Below are 18743 nucleotides of genomic sequence, written 5' to 3'. Positions count from 1 at the left end.
TGGCTCAAAACATTCATGTTCTCATGAAACCTGTCCCCACTCACATTTTCCCCACACTCTGCAACCAAGTCTTTTTAGTCTTGCAGTTTTTAATATCCAGGAAATTGGCTATTGCTTATGTTAGACTTATTACCCATTTCCAAGGCATTTGGAACTTTTGAGTCCACATCTTTCCTGGAACTGCAGATATGTTCAATATAGTTGATTCTTCATTTCTTGTAGAAACATTGGCTTTTTTATTTAATATTAACACGTGGCCCTAATTTCTATTTTAATTTCCCCAATTTTATAGAAATCAAGTCTTGGACACATTATCTCTCTCAATTTTATCTCTGGGCAACATTACTCATTCTCATGCTTTGAAATGTCATATTTTGCATCTGTCTTATATATGTAAATATATATGTATCTACAAACATAGAACATGCAAACATACGCACACTTACATACAGTTTTGAATCCCAGGCTGACATATTTACTTTATTGTCTCATTTTATTCAGAAACTCAACAACTCATACCCGATATCTATATTTTTTCCTAAATCCAAAGGGTTCTCCATATTTAAAAAGGGATAATAGTCCATCTTTTTTCTCAATGTATTCTTAACACCTTCCTTTTCCTCCTGTCTATGCTCATGCAATGTTTTATAGATGCTGCACCTAACTGGTTTCTGCAGTCATTTAAATTCTTTCTCCTACCTCCACCACTGTAGCTCAGCCCAACACAATATCATGCAAAGGCACGTGAACTAGTCTCCTTACCTCTGCTCTTGCTATTTCTTCTCCAAACCCTTACTTCAAATGTTAACGTATTTTTTTAAAACATATAAATCGGATCATTTTCTTTTTATTTTCCAGAAACTAATTCATGGCTTCCTATTTTATTCCCTCTAAAATCGCTAATATTTAGTGTAACTTCTTTCATTTGTATGTTAGTCCTTGCTCTTCTCTTAACTTAATCTTCCCCACTATTCCCTTTCTTGCCTCAGATCTTGGCCCATTTGGTTAATTCTCATTGGAATTATCTTGCCCCTCTTACTTACTCCATTTTATTTTATTTTATTTTATTTTATTTATTTTATTTTATTTTATGTATTTTATTTTATTTTATTTATTTTATTTTATTTTATATTTTATTTTATTTTATTTTATAATTTTTGAGATGGAGTTTCCCTTCTATCACCAGGCTGGAGTGCGATGGCGATATCTCGGCTCACTGCAACCTCCAACTCCCTGGTTCAAGCAATTCTCCTGCCTCAGCCTCCCGAGTAGCTGGGATTACAGGCACGCATGCCTGGCTAATTTTTGTATTTTTAGTAGAGATGGGCTTTCTCCATGTTGGCCAGGATGGTCTCGATCTCCTGACCTCGTGATCCGCCCACCTCGGCCTCCCAAAGTGTCCATTTTATTCTTTAGGTACAATCTAAAATATCGTTTCCTCAAGAAAGCTCCACCTCAATTCCCAAATGTACTTATTCACCCATACCATCTTCCTTCATGAGAAATAAATGCCTTTTTATGTTTACTGTTCACAGTGTCATCCTTGCTATATTGTAACAGCCATCCAGGAAGAAATGCATATGTCTGGCATAGTCGTTAATGTCTGGCATCTATTACAATGCATGCAAATTTTTGAGGGGTGAAAAAAGATTTGCTATGGAAAAAAATAGCAAATCAATGTATAGTATTATTTTGACAGGATTTTTTAAAATGTCCCTTATTTATTAATTTAATTAATCCTTACAACAATACAGTGAGGGAAGAACTACTATTTTATAGTTGAGGATACTGAGGCACAAGTGAACATATAACTTGATTTGTGTTACAAGTCTTGTACATGACAGATTTAGATCTCAAACGAGACTTCAGTGCTAAATCCAGGGTCTGATTGTTTATCTATTTTGCTAAAGTGTCCCTCAAGCAACAGAAAAAGAATCTCAATTGACACTGATTTGTCAAGTCTAAAGTCATTTAGAAGACATTTGTAGATATTGTAATTTTTCTTACTTATATTTACCTATTAGAAATTCATTGATACACATTTATAATATTTATAACATATGTAACATATACACTTTAAGTAGGTGATTTTTCTGAGGATTATTTCGTTAGGACTTCATTTTTCTTCCAGAAAACAGCATAATTTATTCACTTAGTAAAAAAGAACTCAAAAAGAATCTGAGAGGGAAACTGGATTTCCTCAACATAGCACTGGATTTCCTGAGGACAGTTTGGCCCAGGACAAGGTTAGCCCTGTGAAACAAGATGTGGTAAAATATTTATTTCCTTTTTGTCATTGTAGCCAAAGAAATCCATTTCCTTGTTCCCTAAAGGGCTCTGTCTTACCATATAAGGAACTAAGTTTATTTCAGCTTCACTTTGAAATTTAGAAAAATCAGATTCTAGGTGTTGCAAGAAATAAAATAGAAGAAAAAGAGATATAAAAAGGGGCAACAGCTAGTAATATTCATATTATTTTATTCATTGATATGAGAAGAGAAACAATTTAGATTTTATTGGTGCAGTAAGAGATTTACATATGCTTATCCATATGGGTTTCTCATAATACAAAGAACGGCCATTGCTCAGTGCTCTAGAACTTTAACAGCCATGTTCATCTACTTACGCCCTCCCTTAAAGCATTTTTTTGTTGTCCCTTTTATAAAATTTTAAATATCATTTTATCACTTATTAAAATATTTATGTGAGTGCTTCATATAAATGTGCTTATACATACATACACAAAAACACATACACACACAATTGTTGCTGAATTCCACAAAAATAATATTAGAGAGTATATATTTTTCTGTAACTGTCTTTTTCTTCACTAGAGATTAGAGATTAGGACAGGACATTCGTATTGCTAAGTGTAGCTATCATTTATTTCTGTAATGTGTGGATTACTTGTGGCAATGTGTTACAATTTATTCATTTTCTCTATCAAGGCAGATTATATTTCGTCTTCTTCCTTTTGTCTTTTAACATCTGGAGCAGTGCCATTTTAAGTATTGTAACTCTCTCCTGGGATACAAGGACTAAAAATTCTCACGAGTGTAGACAAGTATGTTATTGACTCATTGTATATGAAAACTGGTCTTCACAATATAATGCCAAGCCATTTAACAAAATGGATTGCAATATGTTAAACTCAGGAGCATAATATACAAGTCATCTGACTGATACATGTGCTCTATAGAATACGATATTGCAACATTCTTAAAGTTTACCAACTGAATAAGTGTGGACTTCATTGGAATTTACCTATAAATAATTTCGAGTATATTTTAAACAAAATTTAAGAGGTTCAAGTGCAATTCTGTTACATGGATATATTGCATAGTGGTGAACTCTGAGCTTTTAGTGTAACCATCACCCAAACACTGTATGTTGTACCTGTTAAGTGATTTCTCAGCATCTTTAAAAATGTTCCTGTGACATGTATTTCCTATTTCATGACATGTCTTTTATATCATTTGCCTTTTTTTCCTACTCATTACTTGTCATTTTATTTCTAATTTGTACAACTGCATTACATGCCAGGGTCTGTCTTTTGCCTATTTTCTGTATTTCAAGAATCTTTGCCAAGTATATAGAGTCTATTGGCAGTCTCTAAGAAGTAGGTTTTGAATAAAACTTATTTAGTTTAAATTTAAAATTCTATATTTTATTATGTTAAAATGTATTTTTTTAATTTTTATAGATTCGGGGGGTACATGTACAGTTTCGTAATATGGATATATATTGCATAGTGGCAAAGTCTGGGTTTCTAGTGTATCCATCACCTGGACAGTCAAATAGTATTGTGCAAAATAGATAATTATTCCAAACTCACCCACAAACACCCTCCCCATTTTTGGAGTCCCCAGTTGCTATCATTCTCCTCTATATGGCCATAGGTATCTATTGTTTAGCACCCACTTATAAATGAGAACATGTGGTATTTGCTTTTCTATTTCTGAGTAAAAAAACACTTAGTATAATGGCCTCAAGCAACATGCATGTTGCTGCAATGACATGGTTTTATTTTTTATTATCTCAGAGTACTATTCCATGGTGTATATATGCCACATTTTCTTTAGCCAACAATTTGTTGATCAAAACTCAGGTTGATTCCATGACTTAGCTGTTGTGAATAGTGCTGCAGAAAACATAGGAGTACAGGTGTCTTTTTGATATCACAATTTATTTTGTGGAGGGTAAACATCTAGTTATGAGATTACCAGATCAAATGGTGATTCTATTTTTAATTGTTTGAGAAACCTCCATACTATTTTTCATAGAAGTTGTACTAATTTACATTCTCATCAACTGTGTGTAAAGCATTCCCTTTTCTCTGCATTCTTGCCAACATCTGTTGTTTTTTGACTTTTTAATAACCATTCTGACTGCTTTGAGATGGTATCTCTTTGTGGCTTTAATTTGCATTTCTCTGATGATTAATAATATTCAACATTTTTTCATATGTTTTCTGGCTGCTTCTGTGTCTTCTTTTCAGGAATGTCTGTTCATGTCCTTTGCCCACTTTTTAATGCTGTTATTGTTTTTGTTGTTGTTGCTAAGTTGTTTTAGTTCCTTATAGACTCTGGATATTAGTCCTTTATTGGAAGCATAGTTTGAAAATATTCTCCCTCATTCTGGAGGTTACATATTTACTCTGTTGATTATTTCTTTTACTGTACAAAAGATTTTTTAATTTATGTATGTTCTGATTTTTTTGTTTAGCTTTATTTTTGTTGCATTTACTTTTGAGGTCTTAGTCATAAATTCATTTCCTAGTCCAATGCCTAAATGAGATTTTCTTAGGTTTTCTTTGATAATTAAGATAGTTTCAGGTCTTACATTTAAGTCTTTAATGCAGATTGAGTTAATTTTTGTATTTAATGAGTGATAGGGTTCCAGTTTCATTATTCTGCATATAGCAATTCAGTTTTCCCAGCACTATTTATTGAATAGGGTCTTCTTTACCAATTGTATGTTTTTGTCAACTTTGTTGAAGATCAGTAGGTTATAGGTATGTTTCTTTATTATTTCTGGATTCTCTATTCTGTTCCATTGATCTATGTGCCCATTTTTGTACCAGTACCATGCTCTTTGGGTTACTATAGACTTATAATTAAAATCTGAAATCAGATAAGGTGATGCCTCCAGCTTTTTCTTTTTGCTTAGGATTGCTTTGGATATTTGGACTCTTTTCAGGGTCATATATAAATTTTAGAATTGCTTTTTCTAATTATGTGAAAAATAATGTTGATAATTTGATAGGAATTGCATCAAATCTGTATATTGCTGTGGGCAGATGTCCATTTAACAATATTGACTCTTCCTATCCATGAGCATGGAAGATTTTTCCATTTATTTGTGTCATTTCGGATTTCTTTCAGTCGTGTTTTATAATTCTCATTCTAAACATCTTTGACTATCCTGGTTATTTGCACTTCTAGGTATTTTGTTCTTTTTGTGGCTATTGTGAATGAGATTGAATTCTTGATTTGGCTCTCAGCTTGGATGTTCCTGGTATATAAAAATGCTACTGATTTTTGAACATTGATTTTCTATCATAAAACTACTGAGGTTGTTTATCAGTTCTAGGGGACTTTGTGCAGAGACTATGGGATTTTTCTAAGTATAGAATCATATCATCTGCAAAGAGAGATAATTTGATTGCTGTCTTTCTACTTGTATGTTATTTTATTTCTTTCTCTTACCTGATTGACAGCTAGAACTTCCAGTACTCTGTTGAACAGAAGTAGTGAGAGTGGATACACTTGTCTTGTTCCAGTTATCAGTGGGAAGGCTTCCAGCTTTTTCCCATTCAGTATGATGTTTGCTGTGGGTTTATCATGGATAGCTCTTATAATTTTGAGACATGTTCCTTTAATACCTAGTTTGTTGAAGGTTTTAAACATGAAGAGATAGATGCATTTTCTATGACCATTGAAATGACCATGTGGCTTTAGTTTTAAGTTCTGTTTGTGTGACGAATCCCATTTATTGATGTGCGTAAGTTGACCCAAACTTGCATACCAAGAACAACGCCTATTTGACTGTGATGGATTAGTTTTTTATATTCTGCTGTATTTGATTTGCTAGTATTCTGTTGGTAATTTTTGTGTCTATGTTTATCTAGGGTACTGGCCTGAAATTTTCTTTTTTTCATTATGTCTCTGCTAAGTTTTGGTATCAGAATAATGCTGGCCTTGTAGAGGAAGTTAAGGAGGAGTCTCTTCTCAAATTTTGGAATAGTTTCACTGGGATTCATACCAGGTCTTCTTTCTATGTCTGGTAGAATTTGGCTGTGAATCTGTCTGGTACAGACCTTTTTTCTGGTTAGTAAATTTCTTATTACTAATTCAATTTAGGAACTCATTATTGGTCAGCTCAGGGATTCAATTTCTTCCCAGTTCAATCGTGGAATATTTTATGTTTCAAGAAATTTATCCATTTCTTCTAAGGTTTCTAGTTTGTGTGCATACTGGTGTTCATAATAGGTTCTGAGAGGTTTTTTATATTTCTGTGGGGTTAGTGATAATGTCACATTTGTCATTTCTGATTGTGTTTGTTTGGACCTTCTTTCTTTTGTTCTTTATTAGTCTAGTTATTTGTCTGTAAATTCTATTTATTCTTGCAAAGAACTAGCTCTTGGTGTTGTTGATTCTCCTTATGAATTTACATGTCTCAATTTCATTGAGTTCAGCCCTGATTTTAGTTATTTATTTTCTTCTGCTCACATCTGAGTTGTTTTGCTCCTGTATTTCTAGTTCCTCTGGATGTGATGTTAGGTTGTTTATCTGAGATCTTTCTAACATTTGGATGTAGGAATTTAACACTATAAACTTTCATCTTAGCACTACTTTAGCTATGTTTCAGAGATTCTGAAATGTTGTATCTTTGTTTTCATTACTTTCAGTGGATTTCTTGATTTCTGTATTAATTTTATTCTTTACCTTAAATAATTTAGGAGGCAGTTCTTTAACCTTTTTCCATTTAAAAAAAATAAGTGCAGCTCACTGTCTGCAATCATTTAATTTTACATAAACATGCTCTTTGAGTTTGAAGCAAATCTGACAGATTTTCTATATGAAAATAAAATATAAAAACTGCTCTTGGAGTAATTTCTAAACAGAAGTAACATCAAAATCACCTGAATCATCGGAGTCATTTATTTTTTAAAAAAATGGATTCATCAAATCAATCTTTGGCCAATTGTTTTAGAACAATGTTAATATCATGTGTAGGGATACTATGTTTTCTAGGATTTGATATTTTCAGCTATCAAGAATTACCATATTTTATACATGGAAATACCACTACTAAAACCAGAATGCTATAAAATAGAACAATGTCTTCTGTTTCCAAGGTCAATATACTAAAGAGTGATGCAAAAATAAGAAGAAAAGCGAAATATTTCATGGCAAAGTTATCTCAGGGCAAACACCAAGCCACAAGCACTGTGGGCAAGTATTCTTGGGGCCAACCAGAAAAGGGTTAATTTCTTTGCAATTTTACAGTTTTGAGAGATCTTCTTGGCATAGTTATTTATCTTTATTGCACTGTGGTCCAAGAGTGTGGTTGGTATGATTTTTATTTTTATGAAATTTTTGAGAATTGCTTTATGTCCAAGTGTGTGGTCAATCTAAGAGTATGCACCATGTACACATGGAAAGAATGTATGCCCTGTTGCTGTTGTGTGCAGTGTTCCATAGATGCCTGTTAGGTCCATTTGGTCAAGTGTTGGCTGCACACTTTGAATATCTTTGTTAGTTTTCTGCCTCAGTGATCTGTCTAACATTGTCAATGGGGTGTTGAAGTCTCTCACTATTATTGTGTGGTTATCTAAGTCTCTTTGTACATCTCTAAAAACTTGAATCTGGGTGCTAAAGTGTTGGGTGCATACATATTTTGGATAGGTAAGTCTTATTAAATGGAATTCTTTATCATTATGTAGTGACTTTCTTTTACTTTCTGATACTGGTTGGTTTAAAGTATGTTTAGTCTAAAATAAGAATAACAATCTGTAGTAGGCTGTTCTCACATTTTTATAAAAAATCCTGTGACTGGGTAATTTATAAAGAAAAGAGAGGTGAGGTATGGTGTCTTATGCCAGTAATCCCAGTATTTTGGGAGGCTAGGGTGGGATCACTTGAGCCCAGGAGTTCAAGACCAGCCTGGGCAACATAACAAAATCCCTTCTCTACAAAAAATACAAAAATAGATGAAAGTGGTAACATGCATCTGTTGTCCCAGCTACTCAGGAGTCTGAGGTGGGAGGATCACTTGAGCCTGGAAGTCAAGGCTGCAATGAATGGTTATCATGCCACTACACTCCAGCCTGTGAAACAGAGTGAGACTCTATCTCAAAAAAAAAAAAAAGAGGTTAAATTGGCTCATGTTTCTGCAGGCTATACAGAAAGGATGATGCTGGCATCTGCTCAGCTTCTGGAGAGGCATCAGGAGAATTACAATCATGGCAGGAGGTGAAGGGAAAACAGGCACCTCATGTGGCCAGAGCAGGAACAAGGGTAAGGGGAGGTGCAACACACTTTTAAATTGCCAGATCTTATGATAGCTCACTTACTATCATGAGGACACCACCAGGGAGATGGTGCCAACCATTCATGAGAAATCTGCCCTATGATCCAATCACCTCCCAACAGGCCCCACCTCCAACATCAGGGAGTCCATTTCAACATGAGGTTTGAGTAGAAACATATATCCCAAATGTATCAGCAACTTATCTAATGTTTTACATTAGATAAGTAGGTTTTTCTTCACTCCTTTACTTTGAGCCTATAGGTGTAATTACATGTGAGATGGGTCTTTTGAAGACAGCATACAGTTTTTTTTTTTTATTCTTATACTTTAAGTTTTAGGGTACATGTGCACAATGTGCAGGTTAGTTACATATGTATACATGTGCCATGCTGGTGTGCTGCACCCATTAACTCGTCATTTAGCATTAGGTATATCTCCTAATGCTATCCCTCCCCACTTCCCCCACCCCACAACAGTCCCCAGAGTGTGATGTTCCCCTTCCTGTGTCCATGTATTCTCAATGTTCAATTCCCACCTATGAGTGAGAACATGCGGTGTTTGGTTTTTTGTCCTTGGGATAGTTTACTGAGAATGATGATTTCCAATTTCATCCACGTCCCTACAAAGGACATGAACTCATCATTTTTTATGGCTGCATAGTATTCCATGGTGTATATGGGCCACATTTTCTTAATCCAGTCTATCATTGTTGGACATTTGGGTTGGTTCCAAGTCTTTGCTATTGTGAATAGTGCCGCAATAAACATACGTGTGCATGTGTCTTTATAGCAGCATGATTTATAGTCCTTTGGGTATATACCCAGTAATGGGATGGCTGGGTCAAATGGTATTTCTAGTTCTAGATCCCTGAGGAATCACCACACTGGTTTCCACAATGGTTGAACTAGTTTACAGTCCCACCAACAGTGTAAAAGTGTTCCTATTTCTCCACATCGATGTGGAGAGGATGTGGAGAGACAGCATACAGTTTTATCTTGCTTCTTTATTCAAATTGCTACTCTGTGTCTTTTAAGTGGGGTGTTTAGCTGCTTTATGTTCAAGGTTAATATTTATATGTGAGGATTTGATCTCGTCGTTGTGTTGTTAGCTGGTTATTATGGAGACTTGATGTTGCTTTATACTGTCAGTGTGCTATGTATTAAGCATGTTTTCATGGTGGCAGGTTACATTCTTCTGTTTTAATGTTTAGCATTCCCTCAACTACCTCTTGTAAGGCAGTCTGGTGGTAATAAATTCCCTTAGCATTTTCTTGTCTAATAGGATTTTATTTCTGCTTCACTTTTGAAGCTTAGTTTGCCTGGATATAAAATTCTTAGTGGGAACTTCTTTTCTTTAAGGATACTGAATATAAGCTCCCAATCTCTTCTGGCTTAAAATGTTTCAGCTGGGCTAGACATAGAGGCTCATGTCTGTAATCCCAGCACTTTGGGAGGTCGAGGTGGGTGGATCACTTGAGGTCAGGAGTTCGAGACCAGCCTGGCCAACTTGGTGAAACCCCATCTCTACTAAAAATAAAAAATTAGCTGGGCATGGTAGCACATGCCTGTAGTCAGCCCCAGCTACTCAGGAGGCTGAGACAGGAGAATCGCTTGAACCCCGGAGGTGGACATTGCAGTGAGCTGCAGTCACGCCACTGCACTCCAGCCTGGGCGACAGAGTAAGGCTTCGTCTCAAAAAAAAAAAAAAAAAAGGTTTCAGCTGAATTAAAGTTCAGCTGTTAGCCTGATGGGGTTTCCTTTAAATGTGGCCTGCTCCTCTTCTCTAGCTGTCTTTAATGTATTTTCTTACACATTGACTTTAGAAAATCTGATGACTATGTGTCTTGGGGGTGGTCATCCTATATAGTATCTCACTGGATTTCTTTGAATTTCCTATAGTTTCATCTTGAGTCCTCTAGCAATATTGGGAAAATTTTCATGGGCAGTATTCTCAATATATTTGCCAAATGTCTTGCTCTTCCCCTTCTCTTTCTGGGACACAAACCAGTCACAGATTTGATCTCTTTACATAATCTCATATTTTTCAGAAGTTTTGTTAATTATTAAAATTCTTTTTTCTTTACTTTTGTCTGACTGAGTTGATTTGAATAACCAGTCTTTGAGCTCTTAGATTCTTTTTTCAGCTTGGTCTCTTCTGGTATTAACAATTCTGATTGTATTACAAAATTCTCATAGTGAGTTTTTCAGCTCTAGAGGATTACTTTGGTTCTATCTTAAAATGACTATTTCATCTTTCAGCTCTTGTATCATTTTATTGAATTCCTTAGATTATTTGCATTGGTTTTCAACTTTCTCATAATCTTGATGATCTTCATTGCCATCCAGACATCAGCCTTTTCATTTTGATTACAAGTCACTGCTGAAGAGCTAGTGCAATCTTTTGGAGGTAAGAAGATACTCTGGTTTTTAGAACTGCCAGATATCTTGCACAGTTCTTTCTCATATGTTGGGGTTAATGTTACTTTAATCTTTAAAGTTACTTTAATCTTTTGAATGGAACATCTTGCTTTTATATTCTTTGATTCCCTTGAGGATTTGACTGTGGTCTAATTTGGATTTAGTCAATTGGCTTCATTTCTGAATAATTTCAGGGAGCCAAGGCTTAGTTCAACACTCCTAGGCTGTGTGCTCTATCTTGGGGGCTGGTCCAGGCCCATAGCTTTTTTTTCTCTAGCCCCTTGAAGTTAAGTACCTGCTGTACTTCGGGGACTGAGCTGTTCCCAGTCCACTGGCAACAACATTTTGATGAGGGGTTCTGGCAAAAAGCACTTTGGTGGGGAGGCAGTGGGCTGTGGGGAGTCCCTGTGTTCACATATGCCAGCAGCAACATGGAGAAGCACGTGTGCAGTGGTGAAGCAGTGGATGGGAGGCTGCAGGCAAGTGCATGCTGGTAGTGCAAGAGCTGTGGACATGTGGTTGCCAGTGGGGGCCACCAGCAAGCACTTCAGCTGGCAGCTGAGGCTGTGCTACAAGCAGGTGTGGCCAGGCAGGAACCCTGGGATAAACCAGCAGTCAAGGGGTGCTCAAATCAGCCTGGGTCCATCCAATAGGTAAGATAGCCCTGCTCTGTTTTGGTCAGACAGCTAATAAAGGCTAAAGCCACCTAGAAGATGATGGTGAGCCTTCTGGAATGAGTACTTATGGCCATGCTCCACTGCAGCTGTTCCCAGGCCAAGTCCCATGGCCTCCATGAAGGCTGGGGTTCTGTCTCTGCCAACTCTCTAGGCAGTTTCTCCTGTCGGCTGAAATTTCCATGGAGGTCATAGGGTCTCTCTCCTCTACCTAGGTTACCAGAGGTCTGTGGCAGAGTGAACCATATCTATTCCACTCACCCTTTCCCCAGCAGCCGCTCAGGGTGAGGAACTAGTTCTTGTGCTTGACAACCTCGTGCAGGGTTCCTAGATTCATCCCCTTTCATCCCAGAGTCTGCATCCTCCTCCTGTCCACTCTCAATGCTTTCTTTCTGAAGGTCTCTTTGGAATGTGCCAGTCTAATTGATGGTTTAGTCCCTCTCAGTGGAAGAAGCCCTTCCTGGCTAGGTCTAGGTGGCCATCTTGGCTCCAGACATTTAAAAATAAAAGATATTAACATTAGCAGACCTGTAATACAATAAATATTGAGAAAGGTCCTTTTGAAATGTGAAAAATGTACATCTACATAGAGAAAGGAAGTGTGACAAAATTTGAAAATATAAATTTTAGAAACAAAGATATTTTAATTTTATTTAGTTATTTTTAAAAGATATTTTTCAATTTAAAGCAAGTTAATACATAATATATTTGGGTATATATAACACATATAAATTAAAATGTCTGTCAAGGATAGCATGAATTCGGGCAAGTGAGAAATAAAGTATAATGTTTAGAGATTCTTATATGTGAAATTGCATAATAGTTCCTGAAGGTAAATAGGTAATTAGATAAATGAAAGATGTGTAAACTTGAAAGCAACCATTAAAAACAAGACATAGAGTTAAAGCCAACAATAAAAATATACTAGGAGGAAACCTAGTCAATGTATTAAAAAATAAGAAGAAAAAGGAACAAAGTACAGACAGTAAAGTCACAAATTACAGGACAGTAAACTTAAAACTAACAATATTTTTTAAAAAATGGGTGTAAAAGGGAATTTGAATTTTTTTAAAAAACCTGTGTAAAACAGACTATATACAAGTGCAAATAACTTAGAATAGCCAAAATAACTTTCACAAAAAATGTTGCCAAAGTTTCAGTCTCCTACTTCAAAACATAGTATAGCTAGTACTAGTTAATAAAGACTGGATGGTATTGGCCTAATAATAAGCAAATACATTAGATAAAAATAAAAAATCAGAACAGATACACTTATATGTAGTCAACTGTTATTCACAATGATGCAAAGCCTAGTCAATGAAGAAAGAATAGTTCTTTTGTAATGTGTTGTCAGAACAAGTTGGCATCCATATGCAAAAAAAAAAAATCAATACATAAGTCAAATCATATAAATAATTCAAAGTGCATTACAGACCTAAATGTAAAACCTAATACTATAAAATTTCTAGAAGGTAACATAGCAGGATTTAGCATGATTTAGCGTTAATCATGTGTGTGATTTAGCACTAGATAATGATTTCTTAGATATGACATTAAAATATAATAAAAGAGAAAGCAGTAATAGTACTTAATAAAATTTAAGAACTTATGCCTTTCCAAAGCTTAGGGCTTCAACTTCAAAACCTCTGGAGATGCATTGGGAGGAAGCACTGGCTAAGTCATAGTCCACTCACCAGGCATTTATTGAAGGATGATGGATGAAGGAATGACTGTAACTTGTCCATTGTCATCTGTTTTCCCCAGGTCTCATCTCCTGAATATTTGTCCTGCCCTGAGTTTTCACCTGAGGCCACCTGTACAACTGACTAGAGTAGTTCCACTGATTGCTAAAATGGAACAGGCAGGATTGGTATTGACTGTCCAAGAGCAAAGTCAGATACAGGTAAGTGTAAAACATCGCTGGGATTTGTCTCCTTAGTTTATCGTTTCATAACCAAGCTGACCACCATCTGCTTTATGAGGCAACTTCTCCCTGACTGCCTCGCTTACAGAAGTAGGCTTCGGTTTTCTCAAGGGTTTCTCAGAGGCCAGAGGTTTGCCAGGAAAATGAATTATATTTTTCTCAGCACGTCTTCCTGAGAGAGTGGATCTTGCATGAGGAAGCAACAGTCTGTGATAAAATTCCCCATCCTGCCTTCTGCTTCCTTATAAGATCACCTGATGCAATGATCAGTGAGTTGTATAGATGAAAAACTGAGAAAAAGAGATAAGGAACAACCAGTGTCAAAATCTAAACATGAGAAAAGACTTAGGATAGGTTTTCTAATCAAAAGCCGATGTCCTCTTCTTATATAAACAATTAACAATGTTGAAACAAAACGGTGATGATATGGGCTAACGGTGATGCATCTAATTTTTTTCTTAACAAAATCCCAATCCATTAAACTATTTCAACTAAGTCATATCAGGAATTCTGTTTTTCTATTCAGTATATGTAACACAAGTAACATTTTTATTTTAAAAATAATTTTAAACTTCTGAACAGGAATCAGATTAGCAGAACTTACTGATATTCTACATAAAAATCACTACTGTCAAGGGAAAAAAGAACTCCTACAACAGAGGCTTTTAATCGAGACAAAATTAGATCTTGTCCTGTAAATTATTGTATTGCTTCCTGGTGTTTTATGGAATTAAGTGAGATATTTCTTGTAGAACATCTAACAGCAATGCTTGGCATGGAGTAAGTACTCAAAAATGTTAGCTATTATTATAAACAATATTTTTACTGCTTTAGAAGAAGAGTATCTCATTTGCTGTATAATAGTCAATACTTTCGTATGGTAATATGACAAGTTTTTATGACTTAAGAATCTCTTTGTGTATATAAATTGCAGTAATGATCTTTATTTTGAAGTTATTTATCACTTTTCAAAAGATTCTTAAAACATATTATCTGGTCATATATATTTACATATACAAATACACATATATGTAAATGTAAATTATATATGTATATATTTTTTAAATATCCCCTGCAAGCTCTCCATGATTTGGACCAGGACCCCATTCCAACCTCAACTCCTCATCCACGTCTTCCTCTAGCTTTGTAAGGATGGTCATCTCTAAATAGAAACTTATTCTATTATGTTTTCAGGTAGTCAACTGTCTCATCATCTTAGACTTTCATGAGTTCTCACCAGGAGATGCAGTGTGGTATAGTGATAAAGGTCATAGACCTACGATCTGAGTGCCCTGACCTGGGGCACATTACTTGACATTTTTGTGCCTCTGTTCCATCATCTGAAAGATGGGAATAAAAATATTGCTTAGCTGACTGCATTTATGTGAGAATTACATTGTTTAATAAGTGTACAGAACTTCAGATGGTGACTACTCAACTCTCACTTGCAAGTGACTTTACTGGACACTTATCTTAAAATTATTTCTGCAAGATCATATCACTTCGTTTAATTTTTTAATGGAATTTAATACAATCTGATAATTTTTTTTATTTTATAAATTTGCCTAGCCTATCTCCATCTAAGAGAATGTTAGCTCCTGGAAAACTGCTACACAGTCTATTTAGAATTCTCTTATAAGCATATTTCACAGTGTTTGACACATTACAAAAGTAGACAGTGCTCAATAAATATTTTTGGATGAATTTTATTTTCAAGAGTTTGGGAAGTTTGGGAAAAAGTAATCTTTGTGTTTTCAGTTAGTTACATAGGTAGTGTAGGTTTAGATTTTTTCCAATGCCTGCAAATTGTGTGTGCCTGAGTAGATAGTGAAACACTATTACCATCCCCATTACCTATATATATATGACTTTTTTCCTTTTATTGCTAAACATGAGTGATATTTAGCCATGTTTCTGCCTGTGTATGGTGCATCAGAGACACTTGTTTTGATTGGCTGGCTCTTATGCTGTAACAGTTTTAATTGTTTTGACTATGTTCCCTCTGTAAATTCAATGAATTGTTCACACAGACATAGGATTTTAGAAGAGGAATATCCTTTCCTCAACTTAAACTTATCATCTGAGCATAATTTTCCTAACAATTGGAGTACATTGCTACTTGAAAGAAAATCTGCTTCTAACTCCCCACTATGCAGAGTAGAATTAATCCTCCTTATACTTAGGGGTCAAGAAACATTGCTGATTGAGTAACTAATTGTCTGGGTCAGGAATACATTCTAGATAAAGAAATTCATTATCATAATACAACTGACACATTGTGATTTAGCTGTGATAAATTCAGTGTTGGCACCTCAGGAAGAGTGCTCTCCAGCCCTAATAAGTATAGATTATACCACAAAGTATCAAGTATCTGAGGTGACTAATAAGTTTAACATAATTTGTCACAAACATACCAGGAGTAATGGGAAATGATGTTTAGGTTCATAAATGGTACACTTCTTGGTCATTGTTTTTGTATATTGCAAAGTATTTTATCAATAAACAACAAGACTGATTAAATTAAACAAACAATTAATGCAAGCCACTAAAGCTGTTTCACTGCATAGTTTTACTATGCTGTCTTTAAGAAAAAAGACTTCTACAATTATCTACGATTTAAATTTGTAGGTAAAAATTGGGTAAAACTAATTTAATCTTAAAAAAAAAAAAGAAGATTTAGAATGTCGTTGACACAAGGAAGGAAACAACAGATTTTGGGGCCTATTTGAGGGTGGAGTGTGGGAGGAGGGACAGGATTGAAAAACTACCTATTGGATATTATGCTGATTACCTGGGTGACAAAATTATCTGTACACCAAACCCTTAAGACACACAATTTACCCGTGTAACAAACCTGTGTATGTATCTCTTGAGCCTAAAATAAATGTTTAAAGAAAAAAAAGAATATCACTGGAGTATAAAGGAATTCCCATCAGGACACCAGAATATAATGAATACGTGAAAGACAGGCAGACAATTAATGTCCAGGAAAGAAAGCCATCATGTGAAACCAATTCAGGAGAAAACAAATGGAAAATATGAAAGCCTTCAAAGAGGTTCAAAGAAGAGGTGTTTGACCTACACATACTTGGGCTATGGAAGCAGGGATAGGTTCATTTAAGTTATGAACACCAAGAGAAGCAGAGGCTCCACTGGAACTAGAAAAGCTGGAGACCTACTTTACCTGTCTAGACAATGTCTCTCTTTTCCAGAAGTTCTGTCATCAGTCTACACTAAATAAATAGCATCTACAAGCCACAAAAAATAAGAGAAGGGAATATTTTAAATGATCTTTAATCCTTCATAAGGGCTCCAAAACATTAGAAGAGGGAGAATGAAGAAAAATATACTAAAAAACATAGTGTTGGAAAATTTTACACAGCTGAATGGTAAGCAAAAATCAGATTAAATATGATTTCTGTATGTCCAGTAAGACGAATAAAAACAGACCTAAAACCACAAACATTATGTAACATTTCTAGATACAAATTTTTAATAAAATTTGTTATATTCTCAGAGAGAGAAAAAATGATGATTATGAGAGAATAAGAAGTAAAAAAATAATGAAGAGGAACTGCTAGTTGTGGCTTCAACATATAAAAAGAGTGGAAGTCATCACTTCTGTACACATAATAAGAAAAAGCTTGACAAGCTATAAATCAACCACTTTTCTTGTACCCATTAGAGATCTAAGGTTACAGGGCAAACATCCCTCCAAAATTTGGAGAGGTGAATATATAACAGAGTCATAGATGAGATATATTTACCTGGAGCAGAAGCCACTGATATCATAAACAGGCAGGAACATATATATGATAATTTTGACAAATTTCCAGAGGTCAAGTGTATACTAACTAGCCTGACTGTGAGAAATTCCAGGGTGCCACAGTCTTAGAGAAACCTTAACACTTTTTGGATTCTATTTGCGGGATCAACACCAGATTGTCAAGGTGGAAATCCTACAAAGATCCCCTTATGGCTCTGGCAGAAGGAGGGAAGGATTATCATTGTAAAATGTACATTGAGTATTTTGAACTACAAAGGCTTACTCTCTAAGGCAAAAGAATATACAAGAACTCTATCCCTTTGAGGAAAGACTTTCCTCATACTTTTAAGTATTTCTAACCTCCCTGAGTCATAGGGTTGGGTAAGAAGGTGAGAAGAACTATACCACTAAGAAACACATGTGGAGGTCACAGAAAAAAGACTCAGACCCACTAAAATACTGGGACTTAGAAGATTATAGAATGCTATGCCTTTCACCACATACCTCCACAGCAACAGGGCTTCACTGTAGTAAAAGGAAAGTACAGATAAGCCATCCGCAAGACATAGACTCTCTCTGAGGAGGAGTATTTGGGAAGCCCAAGCTCAAGAAGTAAGACAGAAACAAATATACTTAAGAAATCTAAACCTTTTACATAAACAGATACAGCAAATGTTAGATACAGCCTAACTCTTAGCCAGAATAGTCTAAATTTTCACATAAAATTCCTATTTATCTCTCCTCTTACCTGATGTAACATGCCCAGTTTTCAACACAGAAAAAAAAATTGCAAGCATAATGAAGGGAAAGAAAAACACAGTCTGAAGAAACACATCAAGCGTCAGAACCAGACAAAGATAACACACAGATGTTGGAAGTTTCCGATGAAATTCGTGATGGGCTCTAATTGAGAAAGTAGACAACATGCAAGGGAGATAGGTAACATAAGTGGAAAAATGGAAACTTCTATGGCTTGAATAATTTTTCCCTTTAGAACTCATATTGAAATTTAATCCCCAATGTAGCAGCATTATGAGGTATGACATTAAAGCGGTGATGGGGTCATGAGGCCTCTCCCTTCATAAATGGACTAATCCATTCATGAATTAATAGATTAATGGTTTAATGAATTAAGAAGTTATGGAAGTGAGACGGTGGCTTTACAAAAAGAGGAAGAGAGTCCTGAACTAGTACATTCAGCCTCCTCAGTAGGCAATGCCTGTGCTGCCTCTGGACTTTCAGATGGTCTCCACCAGCAAGAAGGCTCTCATGAGATGTGAGTTGTCAACTTTGGACTTCTCCACCTTCATAAGTGTAAGAAATAAATTCCTTTTCTTTATAAATTATCTAGTTTCATGTATTCTGCTAACAACAAAAAAATGGACTGTCAAAAATGCTTATCAAGAATTGAAGAATTTGCTGAAGAC

General features: G+C 35.4%; 1 long non-coding RNA gene across 2 annotated transcripts in view; it reads left to right on the top strand.

Annotated features, from left to right (window-relative positions):
- LOC105374655 (uncharacterized) overlaps nt 1-18743 on the top strand; it is a 213260-nt gene that overhangs the window by 30637 nt on the left and 163880 nt on the right. Inside the window, exon 3 of one of the 2 annotated variants that reach the window (NR_188266.1) lies at nt 13391-13529. This is a non-coding gene — a long non-coding RNA (uncharacterized LOC105374655). Of the gene's footprint in view, nt 1-13390; nt 14930-18743 lie in introns of those variants that run through there. The other variant, NR_188267.1, reaches the window with a different exon arrangement.

The sequence above is a fragment of the Homo sapiens genome, chromosome 5 (assembly GCF_000001405.40).
Source record: "Homo sapiens chromosome 5, GRCh38.p14 Primary Assembly".
NCBI lineage: Eukaryota > Metazoa > Chordata > Mammalia > Primates > Hominidae > Homo > Homo sapiens.
Note: the sequence above shows the minus strand (reverse complement) of the source record. Positions and strands in the feature narration are given on the sequence as shown.